General features: G+C 40.8%; 1 protein-coding gene and 1 long non-coding RNA gene across 3 annotated transcripts in view, besides 1 other annotated feature; one reads left to right on the forward strand and one right to left on the reverse strand.

Moving 5' to 3' along the window:
- Nucleotides 2,237–9,006, forward strand: LOC105370113 (uncharacterized). The gene is made up of 2 exons (XR_007063722.1): nucleotides 2,237–2,887; nucleotides 8,157–9,006. It is a non-coding gene; the product is annotated as an uncharacterized LOC105370113 (long non-coding RNA).
- The window catches only part of MIPEP (mitochondrial intermediate peptidase), a 159,212-nt gene continuing 136,646 nt past the window's right edge, over nucleotides 3,799–26,364 (reverse strand). For both annotated transcript variants that reach the window (NM_005932.4, XM_011535097.3), the window contains exon 19: nucleotides 3,799–4,055. In NM_005932.4, coding sequence (NP_005923.3) covers nucleotides 3,958–4,055 — 98 coding nt within the window. In that variant the 3' untranslated portion in view covers nucleotides 3,799–3,957. The remainder of the gene's footprint in view (nucleotides 4,056–26,364) is intronic.
- Nucleotides 23,023–23,072: an enhancer, noted in NCBI's record as "active region_7461". NCBI's record gives its function as "activates an Ori minimal core promoter by ATAC-STARR-seq in GM12878 lymphoblastoid cells {active_cell/tissue: GM12878}" and the evidence as "EXISTENCE:reporter gene assay evidence [ECO:0000049][PMID:35858748]".

Genomic DNA, 26,364 nt, shown 5'->3' on the forward strand with positions numbered 1-26,364 from the left:
TATTATTGAAATTAACACATTGCCTACTTTTTAAAAATTGGAAAAAGAAAAAAGAAGAAAAAAGGCCTAAGTCTCAATACCTACACACTAACATTTTATTCATAATCCACCAGTTTTTATTAGGTTATTTTCAGCGTTTACACATTCATAAGAACTTTAAATTAGATTTTTAGAAGCTGGTGGTAAATTGTAACTACAGGAGAGAATCTTCCCAAGAGGACTGTGGCTTATGGATTTATTCCCATCATAGGGGAAAACATTCATAATAAAATAATTTGCTACTGTGATTTATTCAGCTGTTATTGGGAAGAAGTAATGACCCCTCCACATTCTGTGAAGCCTCTTGGAGGTTTCATGTGCTCTGACTCTTCATCAAAATTACATATACTTTTAGCAATTTTTAAAGAAGTGTACAAAGTTGAGATGTTTCCTGAGCTCTCATATATCTGAGAATGTCATTTTACATCTCCGTCTTCACCTCTCAAAACTTCTTTCAATTCTTTGGCTCTTAATAGTAATCAACACTTGCACTCTGGAGTCACTGTAATTCTTGCTCCTTTACAGCTACGCCTGTTATTTCCAGCTGAATATTTTTAGTTATTTCCCAGGGTTCCAAAAAACAGCAATAAGTACTACACAAAGGGGGTGGGCCATAACCAGAAATGTTTGGGAAATACTGGCTCATGTATGCAATGCCAAATCTGGTTTGCGATTGTAGTGTTGCTCACATGCAGAGTGAATCTTCAGAGAATCCATGCATTTTCCAAATATATTTAATAACAGGACCCTTCTGAGTTCCTGGTACACCAACTAACAGTTCCTGAGAAGTGTTCTTTCTGCAAAGCCCATCTTGGGATATGCCATATATTTTAATTAAACTCAAACTTTAAATTAAACTCAAATATTTTATTTAAACTCTCAAAAAAGCAGAATATATCTAGATGAGGTCTCTTTCCACTATGTTTTAATCTGGAATTCAGAATTCTCTCTTTTGTTTGCTTTTTAAAAAACTGTGGTAAAATATACATAATATACCATTTACCATGGAGCAGAACCATTTGAATGTGTATAGTTCAGCGGCACTAAGGACATTCGCATTGTGTGCCACCATCAGGGATTCTTTCGAATTGCACAGCCATTCTTTCAGCTTAAAAATGGTTTCTTGAAATCAGTGATTAGCATTCACTCACCAGTACCCCTACTAAGGGGTAGGCACTGGTTTGTACTCCTGGGAATACAGGAGTACACCAGAATTTATTTCTGCTTATTGCTTTTGTTGCAAATGCCGTGGCTTCATCTGAGGAATTCTAGAATTCAGAGGGTGTAGCCCTCCACTCTGCTGTCTTGCTATCTGCTCTCATTGCATCTGTTTAACCTGCATTCTGAAAGATGTTTCTCAGGTTTTTCCTTGACAATTTTCTTCTTTTCTGATTCTGACAATGTTTTAAATCATTGTACTGTGGTTATCATTTCTCTGCATTTATTTTACCCATCTTCCTTTGTAACTTGTCCTATTGTCTTTTAATTTCTGCCTGTTCTTTATGGCTTTCAACTTCATAAATAACATGTTTTCTCAAATCTCTTTGTGAATTCCAGAGAGGGCCAGGCACGGTGGCTCACATCTGTAATCCCAGCACTTTGGGAGGCTGAGACGGGTGGATCACTTGAGGTCAGGAGTTTGAGACCAGCCTGGCCAACATGGTGAAATCCCGTTTCACTAAAAATACAAAAATTACCCAGGCATGGTGGCGGGCGCCTGTAATCCCAGGTACTCGGGAGGCTGAGGGAGGAGAATCGCTTGAACCTGGGAGGCTGAGGGAGGAGAATCGCTTGAACCCGGGAGGCAGAGGTTGCAGTGAACCGAGATCATGTTGCTGCACTCCAGCCTGGTCAACAGAGCAAGACTCTGCCTCAAAAACAAACAAATAAACAAACAAACAAAACAGAGAGATTTTGCTGCAATGTACAAGGAGCAATTTGCTCCTTTAAAAAAATAATTTTTGGCCAGGCACAGTGGCTCACACCTGTAATCCCAGCACTTTGGGAAGCCAAGGTGGGTGGATCATTTGAGGTCAGGAGTTTGAGATCAGCCTGGCCAACATGGTGAAACACTATCTCTATTAAAAATACAAAAATGTGCTCAGTGTGGTGGTGCACATCTGTAATCCCAGCTACTAGTGAGGCTGAGGTATGAGAATCCTTTGAACCTGGGAGGCGGAGGTTACAGTGAGCTGAGATCATGCCACTGCACTCCAGCCTGAGTGACAGAGCGAGACTCTGTCTCAAAAGAAATAATAATTTTCTAAGTTATGATTTTCCAGCATCTTCCAGGTCAAGTCTTCCTTTCCCTTTTCTGAAGAATGCTTTTAAAAAGGCTCCACATAGACTTCTTTTTTTGGTTACTCACCTCTACAAAAAAGACCTGATAAAGATGCAGGGGTTTTGTCACTGTCGGTGCACCTGGGTGCTGATGAAAGCACTTTTCAGATTTACCTGTAACTGATTTACCTGTAAATGTCTCCAAGTCTGTTTCCCAGAATGAGCTGGCATCTGTGTATTGCCAGTTTGTCAGGATAAGATCTCTTTTTAAGTTAGCTTGGATATTGTAAATAGGGTGAGACATAGAAACAGCAAGATTCCTCCCTGGGCACTGCACCAGAGCCCTTCCTCAAACCTTTGTCTCCGTTCCTCAGCTCTGCTTTGGGTACAGAGGAGACACCACTGCCAGGCTTGCCCGACTCCCTGCCCAAGGCTGTGTGAGCTGCAGTTTCCAAGTGCTGCTGTATAGAGAGAGAAGCTCCAATGGGGAGCAGCAGGGACAGGGACCCACTGCAGCACTCAGTCAAACGCAAAGCCCTACTTGGGGTGCTGGCTGCTCTGCTTTCTGGTCAGTACCGATTTGGATTTCTAAGGGTGAGGAGGAGGTGGGAAAGCATGAAGGGTCGATCCCCCTTGCATCCAGGAGCACCTGGCACAGGCCGGCCACTGATGATGTTTCTCCATCCAGTCCCATCTCTGAGCATGAAGAAATTCCTCCAGATTCTGCAAATAGGTTGAATGTGTGTCCTAGTTTTGGGTATTTTGAATCTTTCCTTTCATCATTGGTCTTTGGTGAGAAGCAAGAAGAGGCTGTTAGCAGATGCCTTTTTAAACTGGAAATTCATAATTTGGTTTTGACTTTAATGGTGGGAAAAACCCATTAAATAATTTATTTCCTGATATTAACCAAAATACAGTATGGTATGCAATACTGTAAAGCAAATGAGTTCCAGATAAAAACAGACATGGTCTGTTTCCTGATTCACCAGTTGCTTGACACTGGTATGTCACTTATTAATTGTACCTGCACTTACTCATTCTACCTTCATTGCCAAGCCAGTCCTCTGTGTTCTGAGTCTATTTGCCTAAACATTCAGGAAAAAACAGTACAGATAATTACATGTATTTTGGAAACCACACTTGGTTTGTTGGTTGCCTGTAATTGACTATTTAAAGTGCATTTTCTAAGCCTACTTTAGATAGTGGTCTTAAGAAATGGTCATCATTCTTAAAAGAACTATAAGTGTAACCTGTCTGAAGACTGCTTCAAACTCTGTCTTAAACAATTTTGCTTTTAGTTAATTATTTAATTAAACCAATTAAAGATCCATGGAAAGAGGGAAAAGCTCAACAGGAGAGTGGTTATACTAAGGAAATGCCCATACCCTCCATTTAACAATGCCATGTAGAAGTGTTGTTGTTACTAGGTCAGAGATTTCCATGTGCTCAAATATTTGCCAAACAGGTGAAAAGCCAGAATAATTAAAACAAATTATTTATTCCAAGTTCTACCAGTTTAAAGTTTTTCAGAATTACAGAAGCGAACAATGAAATCAGAAACAAGCTCTCACAGCTGTAGCATTTATAACAAAGTCATTATCTACATGACCTTGATTTAAGAGGTGTAGAGTGTTTCTTTTATTCAGAATCCATGAGGAAAGTTTCGAAGTCCAGATCCAAGTCGGAAACGAGGGCACTTACGAAGTCATCAACAGAAGGACACTTCTGAAGCATACCTGCAAACAAAGGAAAGGTCAGAACTGCGTTCACCAGGAGGCAACAGGAAGCACAAAGACACAAAATCAAATCCACACACTAGAGGAACACTCTGGCTTTCTGAATTAAGACTCTGGCTGTATAACCTGAATGCAAGAACATTTTATAAAGTCATGGGCAGTGTGTGGGCCTTGGAGCTATTTATAATTTTAATGTATTTTTACTATCAAATCCATCCTTAGCTTAGAGATTTAGGCCTAAATATATTTCCTAAGGGCTATTATTTTTGCATATATGACTATACCCTTAGAGACTGATATTAGAAGACTGATTTTTTTTTAGTTATCTTTGACTGGGATGATTCACAATTTAACAAGTTTAATTACATATCAAGTTTTGTTATCAAGTTCTATACACTTTACAATCAATTAGATGTTAATTCTTTTATAGAAATCTTATATCAGAATCAAGTTATTGGCTCTCCTCCAGATTTCCCTGTCCCAGAGAACTCCTAGCTTTGCAACTTAGTAACTGTGTAACGCAGAAGTCACTTAAAATCTCTGGCATCCAAATTTCCTACAAGGTTGCTATAAGGATCAAACAAGAAGATGTAGTAGAAGCAATGAAGCACCATGCCTAGCATATATTAAGAATTCAATAAAAAGCTGAATTCATGTCCTTTCTTCACTCTAAAGAAGCCAAAAACAAAGATTGATGCAATTAACCTTATTGCTTTAACCTACATTCTTGGCAGGAAATGCTAACTGAAGGGTTGAACAGGCTCTATATACTGATATTTACTTTGGGAGATGAATTCTGTAAAACCATTTTCAAAATCAAGGCATTAAAAGATTGCAGGAATCCTCTATTGTTCTCTGAACCTGTATTGCAATTCAGTGAACATGAAGGAAGCATCTGTTGTGTGTAAAGGATCAGGCCAGGTCATGGGCATACAGGTGGGCAGGCTCAGTCACAACATGAAGAGTGAGAGTAGTCGGCTGGGCAGAACTGCATATCCATACGGCAGAAAACTAGCCTTGACTCCTACTGCATACCATACATAAAAACTAATTTGAGATGGTCACAGACCTAAGTGTAAACACTAAAATTATTATCTTAAAAAAACCGCATGAAGTATCTTTGTGACCCTGAAGTAGGTATAGTTTCTTAGGACACAGAAAGCAATGCATAAAAGGAAAAAATGTTAGATTTCATCAAAATTTAAAATGTCTCTTGAAAAGAAACCATTAAGCCAATGAGTAGACAAATGATAGTTGGAAAAAATACTCACAAAACATATCTCACGTAAGACTGGTATCCAGAAAATATAAAGAACTCCTTTGACCCATTGTAAAAATATGTTTTTTTAAATTACAAATTGACAAAAGATTTTACCTTCACAAGGTCAGGTTTTTCACAGAAGATATCTGAATAAGTAACACAACTAATAGGCACTGAGAAGACATTCAACATCATTAGTCACTAGGGAAATGAAAACCAAACCCACAATGAGATACTATTACACATCCACCAGAATAGCTAATTTTTTTTTTTTTTTTTTTTTTTTTTAAAGACAAGGTCTTGCTCTGTTGTCCAGGCCTGGACAACACAGCATGTGCAGTGGTGTGAACATGGCTCACTGCAGCCTCGACTTCCCAGGCTGAAGTGATCCTCCCGTCTCAGCTTGAGAGTAGCTGGAACCACAGGTGTGTGCCACCATGCCCAGCTAGTTTTTAAACTTCTTGTAGAGATGGGGTCTTGTCATGTTGCCCAGGCTGGTCTTGAACTTCTGGGCTCAAGCGATCCTCCTGCCTTGGCCTCTCAAAGTGCTGGGATTACAGGCGTGAGCCACTGTGCTACACCAAATGTTGACAAGGCTGTGTGCAACCTGAATTGTCATACATTTGTGGTGAAAGGATAAAATGATACAATCACTTTGAAAAAAGGTCTTAACCAGTGTCTTACGAAACTAAACATAGACCTACACTAGGACCCAGCAATTTCACTCCCAGGTATTTATCCAAGAGAAATGAAAGCATATGTCAACAAAGAAACAACTTGTACAACCCCAAGCTTGAAACAACCCAAGTTTCTATCAATAGGACATGAATACACACACTACAATATATTCATATGATGGAATATTACTCAGCAACAAAAAGGAACAAACTATTCATACATGCAACAACACAAACGGATCTCAAAAACATTATGCTGAGTGAGAGAAGCCTTATGTGAAGCAGTACATACTGTTTGATTCCATTTATATGAAGTTCAAAAAGTTAGTCAAACCAATCTATGGTGAAAAAAATCAGAACTGTGGTTGCTTTCGGGAGTGGATATTAGAATCAACTGAGAAGGGGCAGGAGGGCCTCTGGTGTGATGGTCATGTTCTACATCTGGATAGTGATTTGAGTTATAAAGGTGTGTACATGCATCAAAATTCATTGAAAGGTACATTTGAGATTTTGCGTTTCACTGTATGAAAAGTTTACCTAAATACAGTAAGCAACTATTGAACTCTAATGCTATGCATGTAAACGAATCTAGGTGTAAAATGTACTGATGTCTGCTACCTTGAAATGCATAAAAACATAAGGCCAGATACGGAGATGAAGAGATGTAAATATAGGAAAATGTTTACTAAATGGCAAGTATATGAGTGTTGTACTGTTCATTCAATTTTTCTGAATATTTGAAAAATTTTAACATAAAATCTTGAGAAAAAGTAAACTGTAGATGCTAATAGCATACAAAGTGCAGTCAGTGTGGAGAACAGAAGAGAAAGATGAATTCCAATGAAGAGATTCAGCAGGTTTGTGGAGGAGATGGGATTGAGCAGAAACTTAACAGATTGGGCCTTTTAGGTGGAGGAGACAATATAGGAAAGGCACAAACCTGGGGAAATGCACAATGTATGCTGACCAAGAAGTGGTCTGGCGGGTAGAGTAAGGCTGGAAGAGACTCTGGGAGAGGAACATGAGAGGTCCCAGGGCTCTGAACCAGGGCAACCAACAGAAAAGGAAGGACAGACTGGGCTGGAATCCAGGAGGAGCAGGGTGGTGTGGAGACACAACCCTTGTCAAGTTTGAGGTGGAAGGGGACACTCCATGTGGAGACAGTGAGGACACAGAGCTCAGGGACAGCTTGGGGACTAGAGGTGCAGATGTGATCATCCCACCAGAAAGCACATGGGGTGGGAAATAGACCAAGGACTATCTAGATGGTGGACATGAAAATACTTGGTCCAAACACATACTTGAAAGCCCTTAACTAGACCAGGGGTAGTTGAGAACAATACCAATATTGTTACAGTTTCAACTGTAGACTAAAATATTTTCACTGGCTATCTAATGTCTATCTAAATTCTAACAGCTCTATCTTAGGTACTATGTGAGGAATAATGGGCTGTTACTAGTTACTAGAAGAGAATGTCATTGCTGTGTCTATTTGTGCAATTAAAGTTCAAAACACAGTGTTCTTTTTTACAGTAAAATAATCTGCATGCATGAATGCAGGCCTTGCCTCTGGCCCAGCTGTGTCACTAAGGATAGAAACGCTGGGTATGTGATGATGGCTAAAGTAGCACAGTTGACAATCTATCATCTAGATATAGGTTATTACTTAAGTAGACTGAATCTGATTATAAATCAGGTTTCATGCATTCCCTATGTGCCAGGTTTCTTGATACAGAGAACATTTGTAGGGAAAACATTTAATTAAGACATGGCTTTCCATAAAATGTGCTAGCCTATCACGCCATTTCTTCCTTTTTAATATTTGAGGGGTTGCCTCTCTCAGCTTTGGCGCCCTCCTCCTCTGTACAGGGTAGCTTCTTCCTTCTCTTTTCCTTCTTGCTTATTGAACTCTCTGCTCCTTAAAACCACTCCACGTGTGTCCGTGTCCTTGTATCTAAGCTGGCATGAGGACCAAAAACCCTGGTGCTCCACCACTCATCGGAGCCACATCATTTTGGTGCGTTGGCCGAGAAAGGAAATTCATTCATCAGACTGAGTCAAGGAAACTTATTTTAAACTATTTATGGCCTTTAATAATTGAGTAAGGTGTACTCCTATGAACAAAATTTGAAGCATGTTTATTTCTCTGCCTGGTTCCTCTAGAATTTGGAAATTATCTGTCTGGAAGCTCTGAGTTTATCTTGGGACCTCAAGAGGAGAGGATCACCCAACTCACAGCAATCAAACTCCAAATGGTGCTATAAACTGAACCACACATGGACACGTCAGTCTTCCGAGGACCCTTAGATCAACCCCAGGAGGAGCCCTAGCTGCTGTTCCCCATTCGACGCCCCTTTCCAGCAGGAAGTAGCCAGAAGACATCGTCGCCCAAACCTCTAACAGCAGTTAGTGCGGCATCTCCACAGGGGGGAATGTTGTAGGAGTTATTGATAAATTATTTTAGGCAGATAGAGAGGAAAAGGGGTCCTTAGGAAGTTTTTGTTTTTTAAAGCACGTCTGGAAAAGTTTCTTGTAAAGCTCCAGCTCTTAAAGCCAGGCCAGTTACCCGATATCCAAATGCCAGCCATTAGAAAGTGGGTCCACCCAAACATGGCGATTCCTGTGGACTTCTTGCCCTTTCCCCACATTCCTGGATACATGGACACCCCGAAGTATCCCCACCTGTGTAGAAGATCATGGTGCCCTGCATTTGCATATTAAAAGGCTAGGGTGGGAGAGCCAGCTTTTCCTGCGGGCTACGTGAATGACATGCCTAGTCAAACCAATCCCCTGAGCCTGTGCAAATCAGACACTGCCTCCTCCAGCCTCTGTATATATACCTAGCTGGTATCTGTGGCAGGTGGGGTTCCCTCTCTTGGCTTTGGAGCCCCCCTTCCTCTGTCTCTGTACAGGGGAGCTTCTTCCTTTTCCCTTCCCTCTTGCTTCTTCTTGCCTATTAAACTCTCTCTGCTCCTTAAAAATAAAAAAAACTATATTTGAAACATTTCTATAATTACATGACTGGTCGTTTATAACTAAATGACTGGAATTCTCAGAAGAGAAAGCCATTTATTCAGAGCCAAGCTATTCAGGTAAGTATGGCTATCCTGTTCTTTGAAGTGGTTCACTTCAACTCAACAAACTGCCAATATAAATATGACCTTGCTCTCTCCTTCCCAGCAGACAGGCCCAACTAACACACGTCCTTCTCCAATTCCCCACCTTAAACAATTCCTGTATCTCACAGAATGGCAACTGTGGCCACAAGAGAAAAATATATACACTTGTGGGCTTTTCTAAAGAAATATAGTTAGAGCTAACTGGTTTGGTGATTTTGTATGTATGTGATTGCTGAAGATGAAGGTTCAAAAAGGAGGAAATCAGGACCTGAGCCTGGAAGGATAATGAAGAATAGTTACTGGGGAAGAATCCTGGGCACACTGTTATGCTAGCCCTGCTCTAATTAGATTTAAATGTTCTGCGAGTGTTAACATGAACTAAACCCTACACAGAAAATTTAAAAAAAAAACAAAAAAAACAATGTTTCAGGTAGTTCCACAAGTAAGAAAAACTGGATTTGGATTTTGTATATGGCCATAGTAAAAAAATTCCAAGAAAGCTTTGGTTTCTTTTTTAAAGCTGACAAAGATGTCCCCTTTGCCTTCAAGTCTTAATTTTAGAAGGGTGACGATTAAAATTGTATTTTCCAAGCACCCCTGGGAACCAGCTTGGAGCTGTTAACTCCAACCAAGGTGGATGGAGTTAACAAACACATTTCACTCTGGAAATCACCTAAATTAGAGGGAGAATGAATGGATCTTGCCAAAAGGACTCAAACAGGCAATAACTTTACAATTAAAAAGAGAAAAGTGTCAATAGCAATATAAGAAAGACAAAATTGCATCAGGACACACATTGCAAATATGAGCTCACAAAAGGAAGCAGGTAGTAGATCTTCACCTATTTGTCCTACTGAGAGGGACAGAGAATATATAAAGAGTAGTTAAAGAGTGAGAATTTAATGTATTTTTCTCCTCATTTTACCTGAGAGACAAATGGGCTAAGAAAAGATGGTACAAGCCAGAACATTTTTGTTCTGACGGCTCTGCTCAAATTAGCGTGTTTCATAACCTTGAAGTACTAGGGTAATTATTCTGGCCTGACTAATTTAAATTATAATATCAACAAGATTCCAAGACTGAGTCTTAAAACGGCAGGGTTTCCAAACTGCGGCTTTCCAGTCCTCTTCTTCCGAGTGACTGCAGACATACAGCTGGAGAGAAAGTGAGGAGAAAAATACCATGCAGGAGGACTTGACCTGCAGACAGCTGGCCTAGACGGGGCTCATCAGAGAGAACACCAGCCACTCCACTCCCAGAACCACGGTGGCTGTTTACAGAGCATTCACTGTGCACCAGACACTGTCCTAAGAGCACTGATCCATGGTCTCCTTAAAACACACCTTGAGACACCTATCTTCACAAGTAAGAAAACAGAAGCCAAGAGAGTCACACAACTCATAGGTTTGCTTTAACCCTGGCAGTCTGGTTCCTGAGCCCATGCTCTTAAAGCGCTATGATATATTGCCTCATGCCCCGAAATTCTGTCAAATACATTCTAAAAAGGTTTATATTTAAATATCAGCATCCTTGATGTGACAGAACCTAAATATGTAGAAAATCTTGAGAGAAAGGTCTCATTATTTCCTGATGCCACCCATGAGCACTTGTACCCAACTTACACGGCTTCCGTTCTGTGGAGCACACTTTACAAGCAGTCACGACTGTGCCCATCTAGCTGGAAGTAGAGGGCAGAGATCAGTGGCTTCGTCTCACAGGGCCGTAGTCTGGTACTGCCAACGGTGGCTTGGCCCAGCTGTGACCGGGACACTCATGACCAGGACAGGCACTCATGTAACGACCAAGAGCCTCTTCCCATCAGGGCACAACAGTGCTCACAATGCTTGGTTGCTGCTGGAGTTCCTGTCTTGGCGTGATACTGGGAGGAAAAAGTGCCCAAGAGTTCTGTGCTTAGGGATGCTTTCTGGGTGGTCTCCAAGTGCCTGTGGTAACCCCTTCAAACAGTAGCCTTCACATATTTAAGGGGCTCCTAACTATGCATATTTCTACACTTTCGCCAAGAAAAAATCCTGTCAGCTCCAGGATGAGTTCAAATATATATGTGTACAAAGCTGCAAGTTCATATCCTGTTATTTTGTAATACATAATGAACATATAATCCAACCAGACCTTCATTTAAAAATCAGCATACTCATGGCCTCACCTGTTTAACCCTTGAATGCCCTTTTGGATGTACAATTAATATAATTATTTGAAAACATGATTGAGAGCAATTGGTTGGCAGTTTGACTATACCTGTAAGCCAACCTTGCAAAGACGAAATCTCATTCTGGCTCCCTTTCCTAAGGCCCTAGGGTGAAATCGTTGGTGTATCATTTAATTTCATAAATACAGGGGATTACCAGGCAATTAAAAAGTAGAATTATTTTAAAGCTTGGAAGAAGAAGAATAGGTACATCTTTTCTTTGAGTCTATTTTATATATTGCTTGACACCAAGCAAAGGTGCCCAATAAAATGAAACTATGGCTGTTTGATCAATGGCTGAGTATGATCCAAATTTAATGAAACTCAAAGAATGAATGAATGAAGAAACTATTAATTGAATATTTGTAAGAGTTTTTTCCATTCATTCATCCATTCTATCTGTGCCTAAATGCCTAATGTGAATTTCAGGAAGGCAAAACAAACAAACAACCCCAAAAAAGAAAAAACATGTTATTTATTAGGAAGATGTTATATATCAAGCTTGTCCAACTCATGGCCTGTGGGCTGCATGTGGCCCAGGATGACTCTGAATGTGCCCCAACACAAATTCATAAACTTTCTTAAAATACTATGAAGTTTTTTCTTGGTGATTTTTTTTAGCTCATCAGCTATTGTTAATGTAGTTTATGTGTGGCCCAAGACAATTCTTCTTCCAATGTGGCCCAGGGAAGCCAAAAGATTAGAGATCCCTGTATATATTATATATAAAAATTACTGAGTTTTTTTTTTTTTTTTCTTGAGACAGGGTGTCACTCTGTCACTCAGGCTGGAGTGCAGTGGTGCAATCTCGGCTCACTGAAGTCTTGAATTTCTGGGCTCAAGTGATCCTTCCACCTCCGCCTTCCTCAGCTGGGACTATAGGAATGCACCACCACGCCCAGCTAGTTTTTTTTTTTTTTGTAGGAATGGGGTTTCGCCATGTTGTTCAGGCTGGTCTCGAACTCCTGAGCTCAAGTGACCCAGCTACCTCAGCCTCTGAAAGTGCCCCATGGGATTACAGGCGTGCGCCTCTGTGACTGGCTGAGACTTTCTTCTGAAAACTATGATCCAGTGGACCTAAAAGTGGACTGACATCACTGGTGTGTCAACTGGGAGCCTGTTAGAAATGTGAATTCTTAATCCCCCATCCGAGCCCTGCTGAATCAGAACCTGGGGATAGGCCCAGTGACCTGTGTTTTAATAAGCCTTCCCAGTGACTCTGCTGCATGCTCGCCTTTAAGCCCCATGGCTCAGATGGACCTGCGGAAACCTGTTAAGCCTGAAAATGAGATGTCGTTTCTCTCAACTGGCAACTATAACTTGAAAAATACTGAGCAAGAAAGATGTAGACGATTGTAATTTTCTACTTAACTAAAAAAGATTTCTCAGGTGAAATAGAAAACAATTGTTTCATGTAAAACTATAATTTATTTGGGACACTGTTCAAAGTTATTGAGTACCAGCTAGCTGGAAAAGCACCTACAATGATCTAGTGGATTTGGCATGGATATGGCCTACAGATCTGTAGTGGGGACGGAGAAAGGGACGTGGTGTCAGTGTGAGCTGTGTGGAAGCTGGGGCTCTGCACTTGCTCAAGAAGTCTCCCAGACGGGAGGTGCCCTTTGGAGATGAAGGCAGTCCTTTTATTTAAAAAGTTAAAAAGCAGGGTATGTTTTGATTACTAGGAACATTCTACAGGACAATAATTTGTGTTGATCAATTATTATGAGAAAAGCTCAGAAACACACACCTAAGAAGCTTCTTTCATTCTGACTGTTCTGAGCCTGAGAAATAGAACCCAACCTCAGTCAGGCAGGAGCCCAGAGGGAGCCATTTCTCAAGGAAAACACGAAGTTGGTAGAGGACTGGTCATCTGTTGATAGGTCATGATTTCTGCCAAAGTGGGCGATTTTAGCAGAAAGGTGGATGGAGTTGCTTAGGTCTGACTCCCCATAGGCATGGACCTCTCCCATCATTAGTGTTCTGAGATAAATGCCTCTGCCTGCAGGCCAAGCTCCCTGTGCACGGCAGCAAGCAGAAACATGACTACTCCTGACTCCACTTCAGACTGAACGTCTGCTCATGCATTTATCAAAAGGAAATGTTTACTAAGCACTTGTGTGCTAAACACTGTGTACTGGAGACAGCAGGCACACAGATATGAGTGAGACATGATTTCTGTTCTGAGGAACTTCATGAGTTGGGGAGAAAGCCATGGAAATACATAACTGTTCATACAGCACCAAGGTGTCAATGGGGTAGGATATTGCTTTTTTCCACCTAGCATCCATTTCCCTTCTGGTTAGGAGAATAATTTTGCTTTAGAGCAGTGGTTTAGAGGGTGATTTTGTCAGGGCATCTGGCAAGGTCTGATGACATTTTTGGTTGTCACACTGGAGGAGTGAACCACCATACTACACACAGGACAGGCCCCATAAAAAGAACTTATCTGGTCCCAAAACGTCAACAGTGTGCAGGCAGACACCCTGCGGTGGGCCAACAAATGAGGAAGCTCTCCCTGCCCCTGGCTCAGCCAGTGAGGGTGGCCAGATGTGTTCTTCCAGGATTGAGTCTTGAGCCGAATGCAGAAAGGTCTATGGCTGGCTGGAGCTGAGCCATCCCAGTACCAGCCCCATGAAGAACACACCCTCTCCTCTGCCAAGCCCCACCGAGCTGCTCTTCTGGAGCCCTGTTGTAACTTCTTCCTTTGAGTCTGTGGCCTCAAAAAAAAAAAAAATTGGTTTTCTGCTTTGATAAGCCAGAGTTGGTTCTATTTCTTTCAAGAAGATTCCCAGTTGATTAAAAAAAAAAATCAGTTCACCCGTTATTAAAAAGAATTTAATGATGTCTAGGGAACACTGATCTTTTTGTTTGATCAAAGACCAACTCTGTAGACCCAGGATTTGTACCTGAAGCAGCTGTTTTTTCACTTAAATGATTCTGTCTTTCCTCCGATTCATAAAGTCTGGGTGATACACAAGCAAGCTTTAATGCCTGATTTCTACTCCCCACCTTCACTGGAAAAGCAGGGGTTGTTCCTGGACAAAGAGAAAACAGTGTCTCACTGCCACCAAGCCCTGTCAGGTGTGGCAGGAGGTGTGAGGGGGATAGGAAGATGCACAGAGGGACTGCCCTCCATAGCTTGGGTCTCCCTGAAACTGGATCTTCCCTTGTGGAGTCGGGGAAGGAAGTATCGCTGCTTGTGGGTTTCAAAGATGCAAGGGAAGTTCATGGACTGGGTGTCCAAGGCTGCCCAGGAGAGGGGAGGTCTGGGTGCTCTGTGTATGTGGCCAGGTGGATGGACTCGTAACACCAATCAGGCATGGCCAGTGCCATGGGCCAAGACACCCAGGACAAATACCTCATCAGTTCTTTAAAATCAAAGCTAAAAAATCAAAATCACAATGAGATACCATTGTACACCAGTCACAATGGTTATTAGTAAAAAGTCAAAAAAATAACAGATGCTGGTGAGGTTGTAGAGAAAAAGGAATGCTTATACACTGTTGGCGGGGGTATAAATTAGTTCAGCCATTGTGGAAAGCAGTGTGGCAATTCCTCAAAGAGCTAAAAATAGAACTACCATCTGACCCAGCAATCCCATTACTGGTTAATATACACAAAAGGAATATAAATCATCCTACCATGAAGACATATGCACGTGAATGTTCACTGATGCACTATTCCCAACAGCAAAGACATGGAATCAACCTAAATGCCCATCAATGACAGACTGGTTAAAGAAAATGTGGTACATACACACCAAGGAATACTATGTAGCTATAAAAAAATGAGATCACATCTTTTGCAGAAACCTGGATGGAGTTGGAGGCCATTATCCTTAGCAAACTAACACAAGAACAGAAAACCAATTACTGCATGTTCTTATTTATAAGTGGGAGCTAAATAATGAGAACACATGGACACAGAGGGGAACAACACACGCTGACGCCTATGTGAGTGTGGAGCATGGGAGGAGGGAGAGCAAAAAAAAATAACTATTGGGTACTAGGCTTAGTACCTGGGTGATAATATAATTTGTACAAAAAGCCCCCATGACACAAGTTTACCTATATAACAAACCTGCACATGTACACCGAACCTAGAAAAAAAATTTAAAAAAAAAAAATAAAAGTTAAAAGCTAGTCATATTCTTACATTTCAGCCACAGCACTGGACTTAGTAGAAATTAATTAATTAAGTTCCATTAGCCAGATTTCTATTTAAGGCCTATAAGTATCAGTTAGGAACAGTCTGGTGGACCAAAAAAAGAGCCTCAGGCTCCAAAAAAGAAAATGTCCTGAGGACCCCCTACAGGACAATAGCCCCGTGGGGCCTTGCTGGTCAGCAGAGCAGCTATTCGAATGCAGTTCCACCAACAGCCTCAGGGGCACTGTGCTGGTGTGAATTTGGGGCTGAATGGAACATTATCTGGTTCCGCATGGTATCTTATTATTTGAAATTTCAGGCTATTTCTCTTCTGACTATACAAAAGTTTTCCTTTGAAGGGGTGCCAAGAAAGAATAGAGAGAAAAAAATACCTTTTTCATTTTCTAAATAAAACTTTAGGTGGCTCGAAAGAAGGCAATATATCCTGATGGTTAGAGCAAGGGTTTAGTAAGAGATTACCCTGGGTTAAACAACTGGGTAAGGACCTCAGACTAATCACTTAACCCCTGCTGGAGGAAATCTAAGTAAAAGTAAAATGTTGGAGTTTAGTATAATGTTTGAAGTTCATAAAACTGGCACAATGTCATCTACTTTGCTAGATTGTTAATAAGGATTAAATAAGATACAGCATTTAACACACAGAAATGCTCAGTAACTCACTATAATAATCAGACCCGAAGATTTATGAAAACCTGCTTCCTAGTTCAAGAGTTGAAGGAGGAGGTTGCTTACTATTTTTGCACAAGTTCAATTCCAAAACATTGATCTGTGATTAAATATCATAAAACTATCATAAAACTCACAATCACAAGCTACTTATCCAGCTCATAAATCACAGCTTTTTTCTACTTTTTGCCATCTGCTTATTAGGTAACTGTTTATCTACTAAAAGAAATAAAAGATGGAATTAAAATAAATCCATTTTTCTACCTGTTGACTTCTGTGATAAAGGGTCTTCACTGGGGTGATGGGGAAGTTCTGAAAATGGATACTGGTGATGGCTCCACAGCATTGTAAGTGTAGGACATTGTGAATGGCTTGGAACTATACATTTAAAAATGGTTAAAATGGCAAATGGTATGGCATGTATATTTTACCACAATTTTAAAAAGAGATCAGAAATCTCTTTTTAGAACCTGCGATTCACTCAAATATACAGCTGTCTGTGCTATGCCGTCCTCCATTACTAGACATAACAATAACTTGGATGTACCAAAAAGCAGATTATCTAAACAGATTTGGGAGTGAAAAGGAGGTTTGAGTATTCTCAGCACCATTACCAATTCTAATAATTCATCATAATAGTTTAATGGCTCTTTTTTCTGCTGAAATAATTATATGTGCCAAACTCAGCCTACTGATTAAGAATTGTAGCTACAAAGGCTAGCCTGGCAGTTTGAAAAATCTTAAGTGAATTTTATGAGATCAGAATCCTCATTCCAGATCTGTCTCTCCCAAGCCTAGGGCAACTGTATGGCTCACCATCTTGACTTTGAAGTTTTTCTCTGCTACAAGACTGTGGTTACCCACACCCTTTGCTAAAGGTGGATTCCCTCTATCTACAATCAGTTCTTGAGAAAATCAGACTATCGGCCAGGAAGTGAAATTCTTCTCTTCCTTTGAACTAAAAAGACTCTGCTGCTCCCTGTGCTGGATTGGTATCTGTCGGCATTCACATATGAGGCTCTCTCTGTCTCTCTAGAATTATTAACTGAAGTGAAGCCTCTGAACCTGTGTTAGACAGAAGTTGAGCCAGCAAGTACAGCCCCACATATGTGCCCTGTTTACACATTAGTTTATTTTAATTTCATTGTCAGATTTAATAATTCCATTTACAATTACATTTCTGGGTTACAAAACATCTTGCCTTTTGAAGCTCAGTGTCTTCCTTAAACAAACACACCCACACATTAAACACGCACACACCCTCTTAAAATATTAGTGCATTTACAAAAGGGAGGTCTTAGCCTTGAGAACGCAGGTGCTCCTTTCCATTTCTTTCTTCCAAAAAGCTTTCAGCGATTTCAGAGGCTACGTTGGGTAAATATATGAACAAGCCAAAGATTAGGGATTCTATTTACTTGGCTATTATTCTGGGCTGCCTCTATTATTGAAATTGTGTCATAATCCTAGAGCTAACTAAATTGTAACTCTGATTCCGTAACATGCTTTCCTCATTTATTCCTGCTACGCTGTGCAAGAAAAGCAGCTTTCTGCCAATGAACATCCTGTAAAGTTCCAAATCTTGCTTTGTACGCTGTGCGTTCATGCCTTTACATTCAACAAATCTTATTTTCCTACAAAATCATTTTACTGTAGGTAAGGCAATTACATACTAGTATATATATTAGCTACTAGTTAGCATACTAGTTGGCACATGCCACTTTTCAGATTTGTCCCCATGATATCTTACTCTGATAACCCAATAATATCTTCTTTGAGCATCACTGTATTCCCAACAAGGCAACTCAGTTGCCAAAAATTATGAAAGAGCAAGGGAAAAAAAATACAGTGGAATATGCATGCACATATTTCAAAGCAAAAACTTCCTGGTATAATGAGAAAGAAGTTGAAGAAATTACCAGCCCACACAGGTGAGTCAGAGTACCTGACTCTGAATCCTAGTTCTAATGTCTGCTACTAGGTGATCTCAGGCAAATAAGTTACTTATGCATCCCTTGGACTGTTTAGAGAATTAAATGAGATCATACAGCAACATGCATAGTACTTGGCACATCAAATACACTCAACAAATGCTTTTAGCTGTACTTAGTGTTATTGCTGTCACTATTGTAACAATGAACAATAAAATAACAAATGTATGCTTGGTTTGATTAAACTTTTATGACTCCCTCCTAGCCATTCAATGCTGGCAATATACAAGTAGCAGAAATTAGTTTTATTGAAAGTATTTGACATGAAGGATTACTTATCTTTAGAAAATCAATACACAGGCTATGGAAGCATTTAAATAAAATGTCTATCCTAATGTGGAATGCACGTGCATCAAAAGGAAGACAAAAATAAATCTAGTGTTGAAATTCCACTATTTTGAGTGTGTGACTTAAGCTTTTAAGAATTTTGTTAAAGCTCAGTTTTATTTAAACTGCTAGAAAGGGAAATTTAAGTACAGGTTGGCCTTCCTCCTGACCCTAAAGCTTAAACAAAACATACATTTAGTACCGAATGGAAAGAGAGTAAAGAAACTGTGTGTTACCTGACATACTCTAACTTATGTGATGGGTCACAAAAATAACTTGATAATGCTATTCAGATATTTGAGATGTGCAAACTCTACAATTAACCAGGGACTATTCAATAAGAGAAACTTTAATGTAAAGATAAACTATTAAATGTAAAAGAAAATCAGGTATAGGTATAATTTCTTAATCTAATTTCATTATTAATAATGTTACATCATAGTCATAAAGAAAAAGTTTCTTTTACATTTAGTTGAAAAAGACATAAACAAACACCAGAAGATGTCTTGTAAATGCTCTTTCAGGAAACAGTCCAGTTAAACCAAGAGAAATCTTGTTCCTACATCCTCTAGCAACATTTCATAAAAGAGTTGGCTAGCAAATGTCAATTTCAATTCTTCAACTAAAATCTGCTCTAAATCTCTATAATTATTACTATAATTTAACTTTTTACTGGTACTCCTTCCAAATGTAAATTCATCAGTGTATTGCCAACTTGTGATTTCCTCAGCCCTTGAAGCTTGATGCCTGAGGGTGTCACGCAGGAAAGTTAAGAATCTAGATCCAGACCAGGTGCAGTGGCTCATGTCTGTAACACTGGCACTCTGGGAGGCCGAGGCGGGCGGATCACTTGAGGTCAGGAGTTCGAGACCAGCCTGGCCAACATGGTGAAAGCCCATCTCTGCGAAAAATAAAAAAATTAGCGAAGTGTGGTGGTGGGCGCCCGTAATCCCAGCTACAGTCAGGAGGCTGAGGCAGGAGAATCGCTTGAACCTGGGTGGCAGAGTTTGCAGTGAGCCGAGATTGTGCCACTGAGCTCCAGCCTGGATGACAGAGCAAGACTATGTCTCAAAACAAAACAAAACAAAACCTAGAACCAGACGTTTGGGGATACAACATCTGCTTCTGTAACCTGTGTTTAGCCCACTCAGCACACTTTTTTTTTTTTTTTTGAGACAGCGTTTCACTCTTGTCACCCAGGCTGGAGTGTAACGGCACAATCTTGGCTCACTGCAACATCTGCCTCCCAGGTTCAAGTGATTCTCCTGCCTCAGCCTCCCGAGTAGCTGGGGCTATACGTACATGGACCACAGCCAGCAAATTTCTGTATTTTTAGTACAGATGGAGTTTCACCATGTTGGCCAGGCTGGTCTTGAACTCCGGACCTCAGGTGATCCACCCATCTCAGCCTCCCAAAGTGCTGGGATTATAGGCATGAGCCATGGCACCAGGCCAGAACAGTTTTAACCATAAGTTAAGAACACCATCTATAGGCAGAGTGCAGTGGTTCACGCCTGTAATCTCAGCACTTTGGGAGGCTGGGGCAGGTGAATCACTTGAGGTCAGGAGTTGGAGACCAGCCTGGCCAACATGGCAAAACCCCGTCTCTGCCAAAAATACAAAAATTAGCCAGGCATGGTGGCACACGCCTGTAATCCCAGCTACTCAGGAGGCTGAGGCATGAGAATCACTTGAACCAAGGAGGCAGAGGTTGTAGTGAGCTGAGATCACCTCACTGCACTCCACCCTGGGTGAGAGAGAGAGACTCCCTCTCAAAAAAAAAAAAAAAAAAATTAAAAAAAGGAACACCATCTATAACAAATGACCATCTTCAAAAACATCTTATGATGTTTCCATTCAGCACTCAAAGCACTGAGAGAACGTTACCTACATTCCTTTTAGAAGGTAGTATACACTGACATCATCTAAAAATGGAATCATTAGTATATTTTTTGGAATGAATCTACTACAAGATATTTACTTGAGGAAGAAAAACCTCTCAGACCTCAAAGTCAACCTCTGGACGTATCTCAAAATGGAAGAGGGACCCATCAAATTTATACAGAAAGTAGATGATAGCTTACTATTAGAGAAAACTGTCAAAACAAGCACTACCCACCAAAAGTAACGGTGACAAAACAGAAGTTGAAGAAGACAGTAATCAAGAGTCTATGGCTAAGAGGTGTCGAGGAGTGCTGTGGGGCAGCAGGGGCTCTGGAGGCAAAAGAGTGTGACCGACTCCTGACTATGCCAGAGAATGGCTCTGAAACAAGACCTTTGCTTCCATACATGGGAAGTGGAGATGACACGACCCACCAGAGCAGTGTTTGGTGGATTAAAGATGCTGCCCATGACCCACCTGGCACATTTTCACTCTGTCATTGTCCCTTTGCCTTTCCTGCATGGAGAATCTCCTTCCTGCATGCTGCTTAAACAGAGTACTATCTGAAATCATTTAGGCGGGATCTCTTGATGCCCAGGGCTTATGAAGAGGTGCTTGACTCTGGCCAGTAAGGACCTATTTGGGAATGGATAGCGGACCCCCTTTCTTCTAGTGGTGTCCCCTACTTATTATGCCTGCTATCTAGCTGCTTAACAGTCAGTACTCGTCCAGTGGGCAGAACCAAGCACTGTACTAGAACAAAAAGTGTCTAAAACACCGTGACAGGAAGGAGGAAGGGCAGGATAGGAGTAAGAGAACAGCTGAGAGACTGAACAAGTGTGGAGACAGCACAATGGCTATATATTTTTTTTCTTTTACATGATTAAAGAACTTCACGAAAATATTTAGCCTGTAAAATATCCAAAAATATTCATGTGATAAAAAAAATTCCTGAACCAGGCAAATAAAAACCTGTTCCCATTGTAATCATCACAACTTTTTGTTGTTGTTGTTGTTGAGACGGGGTCTCGCTCTGTTGCCCGCACTGGAGTGCAGTGGTGTGATTTCGGCTCACCACAACCTCTGCCTCCCGGGTTCAAGTGATTCTCCTGCCTCAGACTCCTGACTAGCTGGGACTACCGGCGTATGCCACCATGCCCAGCTAATTTTTGTATTTTTAGTAGAGAAGGAGTTTCACTATGTTGGCCAGGCTGGTCTCGAACTCCTGACCTTGTGATCAGCCCGCCTCGGCTTCCCAAAGTGCTGGTATTACAGGCATGAGCCACTGTGCCTGGCCTGTTTTGTTTTGTTTTGAGCTGGAGTCTCCTTCTGTTACCCAGGCTGGAGTGAGTGCAGTGGTGTGATCTTGGCTCACTGCAACCTCCGACTCCCAGGTATAAGCAATTTTCCTGCCTCAGCCTCCCAAGTAGCTGTGACTACAGGTGCATGCCACCACACCCAGCTAAATCACAACTTTTCTACAGCACAGGAAACAATTGCTCTTTTAAGTCTATTTTGGTATTCGTGTATTCACTCATTGCACAAATATTTATTGAATGCCGATGGGCTGAGCCCTGTAACAGGGGCTGCAGATACAGCTGTGAACATGACAGTCAGTTGCCCTCCTATCACAGAGCTTAGACTTTATTGAGGGGCAGAGACCATAAACCAATAAATGAAATAATACATGTTGAAATTAGGAAGTAAATGTTAATATGTGCTATGAAGCAAAAACAAAGCAGAGTAAGGGGGTAGAGAATGTCTGACTACAGGGGAAACGAAGAGACTCTATTCATAAATGTTTAAACAACCCATCAAAATTCATCAGAATGATTTACTTCCAACAGCAAAGTTTTACTTGGCATGCTAGTAGTTTTAAATCATCTTATCTTTTAATATTTAATGTATCTGTGTGAAGGGGTTTCCTCCTAAGTCCCTCCTAAGTCCCTCACAAATGTAAAACACATTTCCTTCCTCCTAAGTCCCTCACAAATGTAAAACACACCCTGGGGTGGGCACTTATCCCAAGCCAAGGCTGGTGCTTTGAGCACGTTCTGGCATTTATTTATGCTGCGCCTCCACATACCTGGAGGCACAGATGCTGCTGGCTCAGTCAGGCAGAACCTGTCAGGCGTTAAGGCTTATCTTTCCCTTGAAATCCCTTATTAAAAAAATAAAAAGCAAAGACACCTAAAAAATAAATTTAGGAATAACCATCCAGAGGTAGTGTGCATTTACTGTTCTCCTACAGTGCTGGGCACACCAGCCTTGCCACACAATGCCAATATTTAGAGATTGATCAGATTACATAAATGCTAACTGCATGCTTTAAAACTAGAAGTATTAACTACTACTAATTTTCAGTGCTATAAGACAATGTAAAACGCCTTTTCTGTTTCAGTATCTGTGTATACCTTTTGACAACAGGGAAATTAATCAAGCTATTGCTGAACAATGACTGTTTATTTAGCTTTCTTATTTTAAATGTCAGCAGTACTCCTGCTGACAGACAGGACTTATTGCTCCTCGATTGTCGTGATGTTTGTATTGTGCAAATAACACCAATAGCAAAGCCTTGCACTAAGCATGTTTTGCCTACTAGGTTAGTAATCAGGTTATTTTAAAAAAAAGGCATCAACGCTTATTATTTAAGCTGCTGTGTCACAAGACATCAAACTTTCAAGTGGACTAAATATTTTGGGTCAATTTGAATAAACGTGTCATCCTGTCAGTCAGAGCTGTCTGAAACTGAAGTGAGTTTCCTTGTGAAAAAGTGAGTTTCCCATCATCAGAACTGTATGGGCAAAGAGCTTTCTCCAGCCCATTCTGTACAGAGTCCTTCGCAGTCACTCAGAAACTGAATCCGACAGGCTTGGGAGCTTCCTGAGCTGAATTCTCGCAGTGGCCGAATTGCATAAGGGCTTCTTGATTTCTGTCCCCCGTGACAGTCATAACCATGCAACCATCTCTATAACAACTGAAGCACGGAGCTTGGGAGTCATCCTTGATATCACACTCACCCTCCTCCATGCCAACATAAAACTGATCTTGGCACTACCTGCCTTAAAAATACTGTAATTGGTTTCTCATAGTCCTCAGAATAAACACCAACTCTCTTTCACAGTATCCACAATGCCCTGCCCGACCTGACGCCCACTTACCTTCCAGCCTCATTTTGTGCCTAATACTCCTCTTTCAATCTCACCTCCGTGCCCCTCCCTCCCCCAAGTGGCAATGAAAAGGCTGCTGGGAAGAAGGGAAACATGGTGGAGTCAAGGTGTGGACCAAACCATGAGCAGTGGTGTCACTGCTAAAAACCTTCCCAAGGAGGTTCTTTGTTTTTAATTAAATTTTAAATTTCAGGATAGTTTTATATTTACTGAAAAACTGTGATGGAGTCAAGAGAGTTCCTCCACACTCCACACTCAGCCAGTTTCCCCTATCATTAATATCTTTCATCATGTGGCACATCTGTCACAACTCACAAACCAGTATTGACAGAATATTGTTAGCTCCAGCTACACTTTAGTCAGATTGCCCTGGTACGATCAAAACTAGCTGTCTTTTTTCTGTTCCAGGACCAACCAGGGGACCATACTACATGTAGCTGCCGTGTCTCCTTAGGCTCCTCTAGACTGTGTCAGCTTCTCAGACTTCGTTTTCAATGACCTTGACAGTTTTGAGGAGTACTGCTTAGGCAGTTTGCAGAATGTCCTGAATTTGGTGTGTCTGGCATTTTTCTCATTATGAGACTGGGGTTATGGGTTTCTGGGAGGAAAACTTCCCATCATATTATATCAAGGATGCATACTGTCCACATGACGCATCACTGATGCTGACCTTGATCATCTGACTGAGGTCGTATTTGTCATTTCCCCCGCTGTCTCTAGAGTGCTCTGGACGGAACTCACTCTGCACTGCCCACATAATGAGTGGGGAGTTATGTTCCACTTCCCTAAGGTGGGGAGTATGTACATAAATTACTTGGAACTCTTCTCTATGGGAGATTATTCTATTCTATTCATTTAATCATTTATATCAATATGGACTCATGGATATGTATTTAATACTTTGTATCACATCCCAAGACTGTGATTTATTTGGCTGCTGGAGTTGGCCCAGGTTGGGGCACTGGGAGCTCTTTCAGTGGGCCCCTGCTGCGATGACACATGCGCCCATCACTGTGTGTGTTTCTGGGCACTTCCTTCCTTTCTGGCACTATAAGATGCTTCATGCTCATCTTCTGTCTTCCTTGTTCCAGCCCTGGAATCAGCCATTTCTCCAAGGAGCCTTGGTTCCTCTTACTGGAGAATGGTGTAAACCCAATTTCTGGGTGCTGATGTGCTCCGTGCTGCTGGAACTGAGAACTGTTTTTAAAGAAACTAGTAGATAGATATCTTCATTGTTTGCATTAATCTTCTTGGAGCATGGAGGTGATTCTTTGGAGTATAAACCATAATTCTCTGGTTTGTTTCTTAAACAAAAAAAATTTAATAAGCTAGAAGAGATGATATAGGATAATATGGCAAAAGCGAGTGTGTTTGGCAGACTATAAATAAAGCTCTACAGAAACGTAAGGTATTATATTTTAATCAGCTTAAGGTAAGGCCCTGCGGGCTTCTAGACTTTGGTTTGGTGAGTCAGTCTGATGCGAAAAAACAAACAAAATCGAGTTTCAGTTTGTTGAGAATTGACTCATTTAGCTACTACTATTTCTTTCCATCTGATCTGATGTTTGGTCCATTTGAAAAACTCCATAAAGTTATTATTTAGTATCTCTACTTGCATACTGCTTTTGGCCAGAGAGATTCTGATTAGAAAGGAGCATGGAAATAAAGTTGTTTAATATTTACAAATAACCTCCTGGAATGCTAAAATCTTGGACTTTATCCTTTCCCTTCCCCTCCCCTCAGATTCTTTGCGGAAGAGTTGAAGAAAGAGAGCATAAGGAATTCTGTAACCAGAGGCAGAACCCAAAACTAACTGGGCCATGTCCTGCTTACATGGCTGTGGGGAGAATCTTTCCATCAGGACCCCCATGGCTAAAAATGGTTATAAACTAAATTGACAGCTTTGCCACAAAAGTCTAAAGGAGCTCACAGGAAGAGGAAGATTTTATTGTTGATCAGTGGATGTCAGGCAGGTCTCTCCAATGTCAATGAGAATAGATAGGTTGCGACATTAAAAAAAAAAAAACTTGGAGATCGTTAAGAGAACCATCAGGGCCCAAGACCCACATTGCTTACATCTCTTGCCTTCTAAAGGCCAGGTCACTTTCATGTCAGAATGTAAGGATCAACAGAGAAAAATGTGGGCAAGGCAGCACAGAGGGTATGAACACTGACAAAGTTTCATTATTTATAAAAATAGGGACAATATGACCTGTGTTATAGGGGATTAAACTTATCAGAGGATAAGTAAAATCTGAACCTAAAAACTCAGTAAGAGGGATTTACCTAAAAATTTTACATAACATAAAACACAAAAAGACCAAATAGTTTACAGAGGGCAATATGAAAACTTGCATGAGTAATACAATTGCCATTCACAAACTGCTGAAGTAATATAGTTTCCATTCCTAATATCTATATAATTCTACCAGTCTATTTGCTGTAGTAAGAAACAATTCTGCTTCCTAGTGGGGGCAAAGTATTACTTCCTTGCTATTCACAAGCCTCAGCATATCTGTCTTTTTAGAAAACTGCACATTTTCTGAAGTGGCTGTAATGGAAACTGAACCTTAGATCATGCTCACCATAGCATACTTAACAAATATTCTAGTATATATTTTATAAAATGGTAAAATGAATGGAAATGCCATATCATCATGGTTTATTTTAAGCAAAAACCTTAAGTTATCTTATTACTCAGAAATGTGATTTAACATAAGCCAAAAACCATTGTGGGGGTATGAGATGAACAGCAGAAAACCTTAACATTGACAATGAGAGTTAAACCTCACCCCAGATGTCTCAGCAATTAAGAAAGTTGGTTTCAGTCAGGTATTGCCACA

The sequence above is a fragment of the Homo sapiens genome, chromosome 13 (assembly GCF_000001405.40).
Source record: "Homo sapiens chromosome 13, GRCh38.p14 Primary Assembly".
NCBI lineage: Eukaryota > Metazoa > Chordata > Mammalia > Primates > Hominidae > Homo > Homo sapiens.